The sequence below is a fragment of the Homo sapiens genome, chromosome 19, assembly GCF_000001405.40.
Source record: "Homo sapiens chromosome 19, GRCh38.p14 Primary Assembly".
Taxonomy (NCBI): domain Eukaryota; kingdom Metazoa; phylum Chordata; class Mammalia; order Primates; family Hominidae; genus Homo; species Homo sapiens.
Window position 1 is genome coordinate 54,102,429 of NC_000019.10, and position 13,256 is coordinate 54,115,684.

Below are 13,256 nucleotides of genomic sequence, written 5' to 3' on the forward strand. Positions count from 1 at the left end.
TCGAAGGACAGGTTAGTCATTCACCTTCTCCCGGGCTCAGTTTCTTCGTCTGTAAAATGGGCTTTCATACATAAACTATAAAATGGGGACTATTTTGTTCCGCCTTAGGTGGGTCGCAGCAGGAGGACTAGTCACTCCGGAGCGACTTCTAGGCTGAGACTAAGGAGATTCCACGCAGGTCCGCAAAGTCAGGCTTGCGCTTGCTCCTGACACCACTTCCTTTACCTCCACGGCTCCATCTTTGTTCTGCGCGAGTGCGCACGCGCAGGCTCCGAAAGCGGGCCGTCGCACAGAGGGACCACAACTCCCAGAGTGCTCCGCGTCCTTGCTTTCGCCTCTACTTGTGCTCCAGGGCGCACGCGCAGCCCTGGGAGCGGGTTCTCGCGCATAGGGACCACAACTCCCAGGGTGCTCCGCGTCCTCGCCGCTGTCGCCGCCGCGGAGACAAAGATGGCTGCGAGTAAGTGCAGGTGCCGGTGGCGCACGGGGCTCGGGTAGTTCTGGGAACCTCTGGGCGGTCCTGGGACTGAGGTGCGGCAGGGCAGGGGTGGAAGCGATGGGGTCCGTGCTGGAGGGGAACGCAGAAGTCACGAGGGGGCTCCTCCAGGGCAGGGGTGGCACGAGAGGGTTAGAGGTCACCGGGGGCAGCTACTTGCAGGGGTGACGCTTCTTGCCACCCCTTCAGGAGTCGGCGCCTTCCTCAAGAATGCCTGGGACAAGGAGCCAGTGCTGGTCGTGTCCTTCGTCGTCGGGGGCCTCGGTGCGTGAGTGCTCCAGGCGCAAACTTGCATCGTCCACCCCCGTCCCCCTACATCCCTCCATCTTGTACCCCTAAAGCCCTATCGCCGCCCTCGGGTCCCCTCTAGTGTGTCTGCACCCCCACGGCATCCCCTTATCTATCCCCATACCCATTATAACCTCTCCACCATCGCCCCCCGCGTTCCTCTCCACCTACCCAATACGCTCTTAACCCCTCTAAATGAGACGTTCTCAACCCTGCTTATGCCTTAACACCTGAGCACCAAAAAAAAGTCCAGATCCTCCTCCTCCTTTTCATCTTTCCTCTCCCCCATTCTGAATTGAGTTGGCTTGGGTGGAGGTGGGACTGGGGAATCTGTGTCTTGTGAAAATCCCCGTATGATCCCAATGTGCCTTGCTGATTGAAAATCTCTGCCCTCTGCCCTGGAACTGCCCTACTCACACTTTAATTAGCACCGGAGTTCCTGCAGGGATGGGGGCGGGGGATTGTTAAAATGTAGCTTTTTTTTTTGCGATGGAGTCTCACTCTCACCCAGGCTGAAGTGCAGTGGCGCGATCCCGGCTCACTGCAACCTCGGCCTCCTGGGTTCAAGGGATTCTCCTGCCTCAGCCTCCCGAGTAGCTGGGATTACAGGCGCCCAGCTAATTTTTTGTTTTTGTTTTTGAGACTGAGTCTCGCTCTGTCGCCCAGGCTGGAGTGCAGTGGCGCGATCTCGGTTCAGTGCAAGCCCCGCCTTCCGGGTTCACGCCATTCTCCTGCCTCAGCCTCCCGAGTAGCTGGGACTACAGGCGCCCGCCCCCATGCCCGGCTAATTTTTTGTATGTTCAATAGAGACGGGGTTTCACCGTGTTAGCCAGGATGGTCTCGATCTCCTAACCTCGTGATCCTCCCAACTCGGTCTCCCAAAGTGCTGGGATTACAGGCGTGAGCCACCGCGCCCGGCCAGCTTTTTTTTTTTTTTTTTTTTGAGATGGCGTCTCGCTCTGTCTTCCAGGCTACAGTGCAATGGTTTGATCATGGCTCACTGCAACCTCCGCCTCTAGGGTTCAAGTGATTCTCCTGCCTCCGCCTCCCAAGTAGCTGGGATTACAGGCGAGCACCACCACGCCCGGCTAATTTTTGTATTTTTAGTAGAGACAAGGTTTCACCATGTTGGCCAGGCTGGTCTTGAACTCCTGACCGCAAGTGATCTGCCTTCCCAAAGTGCTGGGATTACAGGGGTGAGCCACTGCGCCCGGCCAAACTGTAGGTTCTGATTCTGTAGGTCTGGGGTGGGGCATGGGATTCTGCATTTTTGAAGAGTTCCCAGGTCTTGTCAGTACTGCTGGTCCACCAGCCAGGCACTAGGTTAAGGTTCTGAACACTTATTCAGTATGGCAGCCACCAGCCACAACTGGCCACTGAGCATTTGAAGTGGTGCTGGTATGAATTGAGGTGGTATAAGACACTGGATTTCAAAAACTTAGTATAACAGAGTGTGTAAACTACCAATAATCTTTTGTTGATTACATGGCGAAGTGATGTTTTGGATGTACTATGGTTTTTTTTGTTTGTTTGTTTTTGTTTTTTTGAGACGGAGTTTCGCTTTTGTCCAGGCTAGAGTGCAATGGCCTGATCTCGGCTCACTGCAACCTCCGCCTCCCGGGTTCAAGCGATTCTCCTGTCTCAGCCTCCTTAGTAGCTGGGATTACAGGCGCATGCCACTACACCTGGCTGTTTTTGTATTTTCAGTAGAGACGGGGTTTCATCATATTGGTCAGGCTGGTCTCGAACTCCTGACCTCAGGTGATCCACCCGTCTCAGCCTCCTAAAGTCCTGGGATTATAGGCATGAGCCACCTCGCCCATCCAAGTATGTTTCTTAAAATTTGTTTCATCTGTATCTCTTATTTTTACTGTAGCTACTAGAAGATATAAAATTATATACCTGGCTCTTACCATCTGTCAGACAGCACTGGCCTAGAACATTCCTTTTATGAACTGTACCCCATCCCCCAGGACTCCTGGCTCCCACCCTAAATGGACTGTGGTCAGTGACTGTTGTTTGTGCAACCCTTTCTCCTCCAGTTTGTAAGGCTTTTTTTTTTTTTTTTTTTTTGGTGATGGAGTCTCTCTCTGTTGCCCAGGCTGGAGTGCAATGGCACAATCTGGGCTCACTGCAACCTCTGCCTCCCAGGCTCAAGGGATTCTTCTGCCTCAGCCTCCTGAGTAGCTGGGATTACAGGCTCCTGCCACCACGCCCGGCTAATTTTCGTATCTTTAGTAGAGATGGGGTTTCATCATGTTGTCCAGGCTGGTCGCGAACTCCTGACCTCAGGTGATCCGCCCACATTGGCCGCCCAAAGTGCTGGGATTACAGGCTTGAGCCACTGTGCCCGGCCAAATTTGTAACAGTCTTGATTTCTCCAGAACAGTCCCATGACACTACCCCCAGGATGCTCCATGATGACCCTACACTCAAACGTGCTCATTCCATGACCAACCCCACTGCTGCCTCCTCCAGGCCCCACGTATCTGTGAGTGTTAGGCTCCAACCCCTACCTCCACTTAACCCCCCAAAAAAGAGTTTTAAACCCTCCTGTCTATAAGTAGGGATCCCAAGGTACCAAGGATCCTCCTGGACGTGCTGGCCCTCCCTGCTGCCCTCCCCCTGCGCACTTTATCTTCCCTTTGCCAAGGCTCACCTTCTCTTCCCCTCTCTTCAGAGCCACCTTCCCCTGGGCCTCACCCCTGTGTCTCTCCACAGCTGTAATTCTGCCCCCATTGAGCCCCTACTTCAAGTACTCCGTCATGATCAACAAGGCCACGCCCTACAACTACCCAGGTGAGTGGGGGCCAGGCAGGGATCCCCGGAATAGGCCCAGCCTCCCTGTGCTGGCGTAAGGGCAGTTATGGGCAGGTCTTTCCTAAGCAGTTATCAGAGATTCTGCAGTGGTGCCCGGACCCCCCGTTCCATTTTTTAAGAATTGAGATATAATTCGTATACTATTCTGTGTTTGTGCTTCGTTTTTGTTTTTTGGGGTTTTTTTGAGACAGAGTCTCGCTCTGTCGCCAAGGCTGGAGTGCAGTGGCGCGATCTCAGCTCACTGCAAGCTCAGCCTCCCGAGTAGCTGGGACTACAGGTGCCCGCCACCACGACACGCAAACTTTTTCGTATTTTTTTAGTAGAGGCGGGGTTTCACCGTGTTAGCCAGGATTGTCTCGATCTCCTGACCTTGTGATCCACTCACCTCGGCCTCCCAAAGTGCTGGGATTACAGGTGTGAGCCACCGCGCCTGGCCTGTGCTTCGAGTTTCTATTACCTTTCCAGATTTCTGTCTCTCTCTGGGTTCCCATCTGTGGTGGTTTCTTGGTCTCCATCTTCTCAGGTTTCTGTCCTGTTTCCCCATCTCTTTTGACCCTAGCTCTCTAGTGCGCGGGATCTCTCCCTCGCTATCTCTCTGGTTTTCCGTGTCTCTCAGTCTCTGTATTTCCCGCCTCTTTCTGCATCACTGATTCTCTGACCCTTCCCCTCTCACCCCTGGGGTCCCCCTTCCCTCTCTGAACATAAAGCGACAGACCAGCTCTTCTCTCCAGGGCCCTGGAGACGTGCTGGTCTCAGTGGCCCACCTCCTGCCCCACAGTGCCCGTCCGTGATGATGGGAACATGCCCGACGTGCCCAGCCACCCCCAGGACCCTCAGGGCCCCAGCCTGGAGTGGCTGAAGAAACTGTGAGCACCTCCACTGACAGAGGCGGCCCCTCCCACGGCTCCCAATAAAAATGTGAAAACCAACCCCCGAACGTGAGCATGTGTGTGATCAGAGGTGGGAACAAGTAGACGGTGGCCGGGGTGAGTGTGGGGTCAGTTTATTGGGCATGCGTCAGTCAGAGGCTGGGCTGGCCAGGGTCGGGTAGGGCAGCAGTTTGTCTGGACCCCGAGAAACCCAACTGGAATCCAGGGCCTCATCTGCTTCAAAGCCAAAGTCTTCCTCAACCTTAATCTGCAGGAGATAAGGAACAAGGTGTTAACAGGCCTGGGAATCTAGAAAATCCCATCAGCTTCACCATTTTTGTTTTCATTTTGTTTTGCTTTTTAAAGAGACAGGGTCTCACTCTGTTGCCCAGGCTGGAGTGCAGTGGTGCCATCATAGTTCACTGCAGCCTCTGCCTCCCAGGCTCAAGTGATCCTCCCACCTCAGCTTCCCAAGTAGCTGGGACTACAGGCACTTGCCAACCAAGCCTAACATGTTTTTTCTTTTTGGTAGAGATGGGGTCTCAGTATGTTGCTCAGGCAGGTCTCAGACTCCTGGCCTCAAGTGATCCTCCCACCTAGGCCTCCCAAAGTGCCGGGATTACAGGCATGAGCCACTGCACCTGGCCAGCCTCACAGTTCTTGTCTGCCCAGGCCAGTCACCTTCCTCCTTACACCTCAGAGGCAATCCCAGTGTTCCTGGGTCCAGATGTTCTTCCAGCTTTCCTCCCCACACTGGGCCTTCCCTTCCACTCCGTCTTCTCTGATCCTTCCTTCTCCTCTACTCCCAGCCTTCTCTAGCTATTTTTCCTTCTCCAGGTCTTCCTCTTTCCCTTTCCAACTTTGCCTCCTTTTTACCCAAGCCTTTACCCCACTTTTTCCAACTACTTCCCTGCCTGATCCTAGGCCTCCAACATGTCCTGGTTCACCTCCCTTCTCCAACTTTCCCCAGCCCTGGGCCCCTCGGGGTGCAGAACCAAAACCCAAGAGCCCTGAACCTAACTCAGCCCCAGCCCTGGCCCCTCCCCTTGAGTCCCCCCTCCTTACCTGCACTGGCGCCGGCTCTGGAGCCCCAGTCCCTCCCCTTGAGTTCCCGCCTTCCTCACCTGCACCGGGGCCAGCTCTGGAGTCAGCGCATTTCCTGCTCGGCGTCCATCCCGTGGCACTCGCCGCCTCTTCCGCCCACTGGGCCCCTCACCGGGGGCTGGGCTGCCGGGTTCTGGGGGTGCAGGAGTCCTTCTGGGCGGGGACAGTGTCTCTTTCTCTGGAGGCTCATTCTCCGCATTGCCTGGGGTGGGGGCATCCGTGCCCTGGCTGCCCTCATCCTGGCAGGCAGGAGGGGGAGGTAGGTGATGGGTGGGTCCTGAGCTCCCAGTTCCTGACCCTCCTGGAGGCCCAACACTCACCTCCAGCACAATGGTGAACTGGCTGGCCCGGTAGTCATCCCCGTAGGAGTCCAGCACTCTCATGAGGAACCTGCTCAGGGGGAGAAGCCACCAACGGAATAACTTATCTCCTAGCGGCTGGGGAAAAGGGCCACAGGATAGAGCTCAGCTCCCACTCCACTCAACGCCAAAGCTGTCCTGGAGCCAGACGGTCCTGAGCTCTGGCACTGGAGGCCTGGGAGCCATGCCCTTGACCAGCCTTGAGACCTCGAGCAAGACAAGGCAACCATTCTGAGGCTGAGTTTCCTGCTCTGCAAACGACATGACACCCTCGGCTGGATGTTGCAGCGGTGACACTGAAGTAGTGACACCAGACGATTTCTGTACTTAATGTGATGTCAGCACTTAGTAAACATTCATATGTGAGTTATAATTTTTATTGATAACTGAAGAGAGGGGAGTACAGAACGCTCCTCCTAATGACCTCACCTCTTATAAACACCCCCTTCTCTTTTTTCCCCAGCCCCTGCCTCCAGAGTTCCTTAAGGTTCAATTGATGGAATGCCTCCTCTGCACCAGCACCTGGGCAGGTTTGTTGTTGTTGTTTTGCGACGGAATCTCACTCTGTCACCCAGGCTGGAGTGCAGTGGCGTGAATTTGGCTCACCACAACCTCCACCTCCCTGGTACCAGCGATTCTCCTGCCTCAGCCTCCCGAGTAGCTGGGACTACAGGCGCCTGCCACTACACCCGGCTAATTTTTTTGTATTTTTAGTAGAGACGGAGTTTCACCGTGTTAGCCAGGATGGTCCCGATCTCCTGACCTCGTGATCCGCCTGCCTCGGCCTCCCAAAGTGCTGGGATTACAGGCATGATGAGCCACTGCGCCCGGCCTATTTCAACTTAAGTGAAAATCTCACCTGTGGCCAGCGGCTACCGTGCTGGACAGCACAGGTACGGACAGAGGAACCCTGGGAGCCGCAGGTTTCAGCTTTGGGGAGGGAGGATGAACTAGCAGAGGCAGCCAAGAAGGAACAGCCGGAAAGGCAGGAGACCCCAGGTTGCTGGGTGCCCAGGATGGCAAGAATGGGCTCCAGGGAAGAGCACATAGCCCTGGGCCACTGTGCCGAGCCTGAGCCAAGGACTGAGATGAGAACTGTGGTTGACTCAGCAACGTGGAGCCATTCCTACAAAACTTGCTCCAGTTTTGCTGGTACAGGGACACTGCGAGTGGCAGGGGCAGCAGCCACCTGGGCAGGTTCTGTGGAGACACACAGTGGGAAGCTCTGAGCTCAGCTCACCACCTGCAAGCTCCGACAACCCTGCCGCAGCCTCATGATATTGGTGCTGCCCTTAGTTGATAGGAAACAGCTCAGAGAAGGGACACTGCTTGCTTAGAGTCACACAGCAAAAAAAAAAGAAAATACTTGCAGTCAGGTCTGTGCTCGTGTGCCTTCCATCCTGCTGTTCCCTCCCTTCAGGGGGAGGATGCCCTCCACCCGGCCCTCCCTCAGTCCCAGTGCTCAGCCCTCTCCACCCGGCCCTCCCTCAGTCCCAGTGCTCAGCCCTCTCCTCCAACACCGAATCCCACTCTTCCTCCTTGTTTGCCTCAGCCCCCGGCCCTCATCTCCGGCTTCTCCTTGTGGCTTGTGAGGGTTGGGTGGATGTGGAAGTGGGAGAGACAGAGGGGCTGGGAGCATTTGGGAGCTGAGGCTCACAGGCCCAGAGGGGACAGAGAAGGGGTTACCTCCGTTCCTGCTGCAGCCTCCGAGTTATCCTCTGCACCTGATGGAGCCTGTTCAGGACCCGCTCGTTCACCTATGGGGTGGGAAACGCCCATCAGCTGGATCCCACGGCTCCCGTTCATTTGTTTAACGGATGTTTAATGGGGCACGCACTAAACTCTGGAGACTGGCCAAAGACCATCCCGTGGCCTGAGGTCCTTCCACCTTCCCATCCCTCCGGCTCCCCTCTCACCATGCCACAGTCCTGAGTGCCCTCCAGTGGGGGCCTTCCGCGTGCTGTTCCTCTACCTGGACCCTCTCCCCAGTCATCCGCACAACTTACTCCCCACTCCAAGTCTTAGGTCAACTGTTACCTGCTCAGAGAGCCTGAACCTCCCATTAAGTCGAAACACACCAGGCCAGGTGCGGTGGCTCACGCCTGTAATCCCAGCACTTTGGGAGGCCGAGGCGAGTAGATCCCCTGAGGTCAGGAGTTCGAGACCAGCCTGGCCAACATGATGAAACCCCATCTCTACTAAAAATACAAAAAATTAGCTGGGCGTGGTGGCAGGTGCCTGCAGGATAGTCGCACGAACCTGGGAGGTGGAGGGGTGAAGTGAGTTGAGATCACCCCACTGCACTCCAGCCTGGGCAACAGAGCGAGGTTCTGTTTCAAAAAAAAAAATTGCAACACACCCGACCCCCCTTCCCATGCCAGAACCCCACCCGGCCATTCACTCCTGGCTTTATTTCCTCCTAGTGCTCATCTGAGGAGGCAGGACGCAGCCTCTCCGCCTCTTTGCTTATTCTGCTGACTGACCGCCTCTCCAGCCAGAGCATGAGCTGAAAAACGACAGCAACTTGTTTCTACATCCCGTGCCTTAACCAGAGCCTGGCACGTAGTACATCCTCGATGAACATTTGCAGAATCAATGACTTTGCAAAGTGAGAAGTGCTTGGTGAATACCAAAGAGTCAGACATGCTGGAGGTTAGGGCAGGAGGTGCGACTTTAGTTACGACCTGCAGAGAAGGCCCGTGGGCCCAGACTTGAATAAGGAGGAGACAAAGGGGTGACAGGAGGAAAGTATGCCAGGCTGAGGGGACAGCCCTGCACGCAGCTTCTGAGGACTCCAGCCTAGACATGGAGGGAGAGATGTGACTCAGCCAAACAGGGACCCAAAGACAGTGGCTGAAGCAGGTGCTGCTCCTGGGTCAGAAAGACCTGAGTTCCGGGCGGGGCACAGTGGCTCACGCCTGTAATCCCAGCACTTTGGGAGGCCGGGGCGGGCAGATCACTTGAGGTCAGGAGTTCAAGACCAGCCTGGCCAACATGGTGAAACCCCGTCTCTACTAAAGATACAAAAATTGGCCGGATGTTGTGGCACATGCCTGTAATCTCAGCTACTCAAGAGTTTGAGGTCGGGAGTTGCAGACCAGCCCGGCCAACATGATGAGACCTCATCTCTACTAAAAAAAAAAAAAAAAAAAGAAAAATACAAAAATTAGCTGGGTATGGTGGCGCATGCCTGTAATCCCAGTTTCTCAGGAGGCTGAGGCAGGAGAATCGCTTGAACCCAGGAGCTGGAGGTTGCAGTGAGCCGAGATCACACCACTGCCCTCCAGCCTGGGTGACAGAGTAAGACTCTGTCTCAAAAGAAAAAAAAAAAAAAAAAGTGCCAGGCACGGTGGCTCACGCTTGTAATCCCAGCACTTTCAGAGGCCAAGGCGAGCGGATCACCTGAGGTCAGGAGTTTGAGACCAGCCTAACGTGGTGAAACCCTGTCTCTACTAAAAATACAAAATTAGCCAGGTGTAGTGGCGCATGCCTGTAATCCCAGCTACTCGGGAGGCTGAGGCAGGAGAATCGCTTGAACCCAGGAGGCGGAGGTTGCAGTGAGCTGAGATTGCAGCATTGCACTCCAGCCTGGACAACAAGAGCGAAAATCCATCTAAAAAAAAAGAGTTCAAGTTTTGGCTCTGGCTTGGCACAGTGGCTCATGCCTATAATCCCAGCACTTTGAGAGGCCAGGAGTTCGACACCAGCCTGGGCAACAGAGTGAGACCCCAACACTCAAAAACTAACCAAAAAAATTAGCTGGGCTTGGTGGCTGTAGTCCCAGCTCCTTCGGAGGCTGAGATTGCTAGAGTCCAGGATGTTGGGGCTGCAGTGAGCCACAGTCATGCCACTGCACTCCAGCCTGGGCAACAGAGAAAGACCCTGTCTCAAAAAAAAAAAAAAAATCTCAGATCTGCCACTGCTGAGCTCTGAGCTTGGGTGCATTACTTAACCTCTCTGAGCCTTGATTTTCTATACTTGTAAAATAGTAGTAATCTATTCCTGGGGGTGGATTAATGGCAGAGGCTCCAGTTGAGTCCGTTTGGGCCTTGGTGTCTGTCTGTTAAACAGGGTTTGGAATATGCCCCTGGCCTCTAGCCTTCCTCCTTACAGAACTCCCCAATACTGTCATTAAGAATTGAGGCCAGATGTGGTGGCTCATGCCTGTAATCCTAGCATTTTGGGAGGTCAAGGCGAGTGGATCACTTGAGGTCAGGAGTTCAAGACCAGCCTGGGCAACATGGCAAAACCCCATCTCTACAAAAAGTACAAAAATTAGCCAGGTGTGGTGGTGTGTGCCTGTAGTCCCAGCTATTTTGGGGGCTGAGGCAGGAGGACTGCTTGAACCTGGGAGACTGAGGCTGCAATGAGCTGAGATTGCGCCACTGCACTCCAGCTTTGGTGACAAAGTGAGAACCTGTCTCAAGAAAGAGAAAAAGAGTTGAAGGCCAGGCGTGGTGGCTCAAGCCTGTAATCCCAGCACCTTGGGAGGCTGAGGTGGGCAGATCACCTGAGGTCAGGAGTTTGAGACCAGCCTGACCAACATGGTGAAACCCTGTCTCTACTAAAAATAGAAAAATTAGCTGGGTGTGGTGGCGGGCGCCTGTAATCCCAGCTACTAGGGAGGCTGAGTCAGGAGAATCACTTGAACCCAGGAGGTGGAGGTTACAGTGAGCTGAGATGGTGCCATTGCACTCCAGCCTGGGAGACAAGAGCGAGACTCCACCTCAAAAAAAAAAAAAAAAAAAAAAAAAAAAGTTGAATTATTTCCCCCAAAAGAGGGTGTTGAGGCTTTAACCCCCAGTACCTCAGGATCACCTTATATGGAGACAGTGTCGTTACAAAAGTAATCAAGTTCAAATGAAGCCAGTGGGTGGGCCCTAATCCAGTATGACTGGAGTCCTTATAAAAAGGGTAAATTGGGACACAGACACACACACAGGGAGCAGCAATGTGAAGATGAAGGCGGAGATCAGGGTGATGTTTGTACGTGCCAATGACTGCCAGAAACCTCCAGAAGCCAGGGGAGAGGCCTGGAAGATTCTCACAACCCTGTCGACACCTTGCCTTGGATGTCTAGCCTCCAGAACTGTCAGACAGGAATTTCTGTGCTTGAGGGACCCTATTTGTGATAAGTTCTGGGAGTCCAAGCAGACTAATACAACTGTCTTCAGAGTTTCAGGCATCCAGACCTGATGCTGTTCCTCCCCCATTTGAAACCCTTCAGTGGCTCCTTCACTCTCAAGGAAAAAAAAATATCCAGACTTCTTGTCCTGGTGTTCCTGGCCTGCCAAGATCTGAGCCCTGCCTGCTGTTTAATCCTCATTGATTGATTGATTGATTTTGAGACGGAGTCTCACTCTGTCACCCAGGCTGGAGTACAGCAGCATGATCTTGGCTCACTGCAACCTCCGCCTTCCGGGTTCAAGCAATTCTCATGCCTCAGCCTCCCTAGTAGCTGCGACTACAGGTGCGCACCACCACACCTGGCTAATTTTTTTGTATTTTAGTAGAGATGGGGTTTCACCATGTTGGCCAGGCTGGTCTCGAACTCCTAACCTCAGGTGATCCGCCTGCCTCAGCCTCCCAGTGCTAGGATTACAAGCGTGAGCCACCATGCCCAGCCCATCCTTATTCTCAGCAAGGAGGCTATTGCAGTCATTCAGCCCAGACAGCTGGAGTTTGCAATGGCAGCCATAGGGATGGAGGAGAGGAGAAGGGTCCAGAGACACTCAAGAGGCGGAATGAATGAGTCGAGAGGAGTGAATCCTGGCAGGGGTATGGGAGATGTGAAGAGCTTGGGCTTTCACCTGTGAGCGGTGCCACGCATTGAGAGGCCCCCGGGAGACATCAGAGAACCCATCTGCGTTGTCAGGGAAGCTCCACGGGAGATGGCCCTTCCAGGGGCCCGGCACAGGGCCAGACACATAATGCATGCTAAATGACTGAATATATAAGCTAAATGACTGAATATATCAGCAAGCCAAGAAAGGCTGGGCATGTGGAAAGGCAGAGATTGCGGGGGGCGGTAGTTTAGGCCAGGGGACCCCAAAACCGGGGGATCCGCACTCACCTACCTGCTCGATCTCCCGGCAGCGCCGACCTAGTGCCTGGTACTTTCTGCGATTTAATTCCCGCTGGCGCCGCCGCCGACCCCGGGCTGCCTCTTCCTCTTCATCTCGCTCCCGGAGCCCTGAGCCGCCCAGACCACCTGACACAAACTCCACTTCCGTCTCCAGCTCGCTCTCCAGGATGTGGCCACCAAATAGGGGAGGCAACGCCAACTCTGAGCCTGGCGGCGCTGAGAACTCCTCAAAGCCCACGGCTGCCATGGTCCTGAGAGGCAGGGAAAGGCTCAGGGGCCCTGGATCCTGGACCCCCAGCCCCTTCTCCCACTGAACCAGGAGCCCAGACCCCAACCCCTCCTCCCTGAGATCCTAGAATCCAGGCCCCCAGCCCCTCCTCCCTCAGACCGTAGAATCCAGCTCCCAGCCCTCCTCCCTCAGACCCAGAAGTCCAAGTCCGCAACCCACCCTTCGCAGCACCCACAGGGTTCAAGCCCTGACCCCCTCCTCCCAGGATGCAAGAGTCCAGACCTCCAGACTTTTTCTCTCCAAGGACCCAGGGAGTCCAAGCCCCAACCCTCAACCAGACGCAAGAGTCCTGGCTTCCAACCTCCTAGTCTGTCAGATCCAGCAGTCCAAACCCCTAACCTTCTCCTCCCTCAGGATGACCCCAGTCCATAAAAGGGTTCTAAGGTAAAGCAGTTGCATGAACTACAACCCCCATCAGACCTCAGCGTAAAAGCTCATATGGTTGCACACAATGCAGCTGCACTGTTTTCTGGGATTCGCACTTTTTCACAAGGGCTCAGCCACATACCCTTCTCTCTGCTCCAATTCCATCTCCGCGACCTCCGGAAGCCCCGGGCCTCAGAGCTTCCGACCTCTTCAATCTGTAGGTTAAGCCGTTCGCAAAACTACTTGTCCCATCAGGCTCAGCAGCCGAGGACGGCGGGACGTGGCCCTAGGCCTTGTGGGAGTTGTAGTTTCCTGTTTCCGGCTTCGCTTCGGCCCACCCCCACGTCCACCCCGAATCCCTGCTTAAAGGCCTTGCTTTCTTGTCTAACGCCGCAACCAGTCCTCTGAGTTGCCAACGTCTTTCTTCTTGTCTCGACGCCCCGTCGTCCGGCCACAGCGATTCTCTGCTTAGCAGGATCGGTCCACAGCGGGACGTGAGTCCCTTTCCTCCTCGCGGCTTACCGCCTCTCTCCGCCTAGTGCCAGGTGCTAATAAAGTTGTTGTTTCAAATGCGGCCAGG

General features: G+C 54.7%; 2 protein-coding genes across 4 annotated transcripts, besides 2 other annotated features; one reads left to right on the forward strand and one right to left on the reverse strand.

Moving 5' to 3' along the window:
* Positions 216-1,192: an enhancer, noted in NCBI's record as "H3K27ac-H3K4me1 hESC enhancer chr19:54605952-54606928 (GRCh37/hg19 assembly coordinates)". NCBI's record gives its function as "activates a minimal SCP1, AML or CMV promoter by ChIP-STARR-seq in primed H9 embryonic stem cells {active_cell/tissue: H9 hESC(primed)}" and the evidence as "EXISTENCE:reporter gene assay evidence [ECO:0000049][PMID:30033119]".
* NDUFA3 (NADH:ubiquinone oxidoreductase subunit A3) lies at positions 427-5,140 on the forward strand. Its single transcript, NM_004542.4, has 4 exons — positions 427-460; positions 686-760; positions 3,506-3,583; positions 4,383-5,140. The coding sequence occupies exons 1-4, from the start codon at positions 451-453 to the stop codon at positions 4,472-4,474; spliced, it is 255 nt and encodes an 84-aa protein (NP_004533.1). The 5' UTR covers positions 427-450; the 3' UTR covers positions 4,475-5,140.
* Positions 4,592-13,229, reverse strand: TFPT (TCF3 fusion partner). Of its 3 annotated transcripts, none has more exons than NM_013342.4 (6): positions 12,819-13,229; positions 12,014-12,272; positions 7,623-7,693; positions 5,898-5,967; positions 5,598-5,816; positions 4,592-4,741 (listed from the first exon to the last, which is right to left on the reverse strand). In NM_013342.4, exons 1-6 carry the CDS (start codon positions 12,839-12,841, stop codon positions 4,622-4,624), a joined length of 762 nt encoding a protein of 253 aa, NP_037474.1. In that variant the 5' UTR covers positions 12,842-13,229; the 3' UTR covers positions 4,592-4,621. The 3 variants fall into 3 exon arrangements, with proteins under 3 accessions (NP_037474.1, NP_001308721.1, XP_005278318.1); NM_001321792.2 differs by lacking the exon at positions 12,819-13,229 and adding an exon at positions 12,612-12,646; XM_005278261.2 differs by lacking the exon at positions 12,819-13,229 and having other exon boundaries at positions 12,010-12,152.
* Positions 11,515-12,388: an enhancer, noted in NCBI's record as "H3K4me1 hESC enhancer chr19:54617323-54618196 (GRCh37/hg19 assembly coordinates)". NCBI's record gives its function as "activates a minimal SCP1, AML or CMV promoter by ChIP-STARR-seq in naive H9 embryonic stem cells {active_cell/tissue: H9 hESC(naive)}" and the evidence as "EXISTENCE:reporter gene assay evidence [ECO:0000049][PMID:30033119]".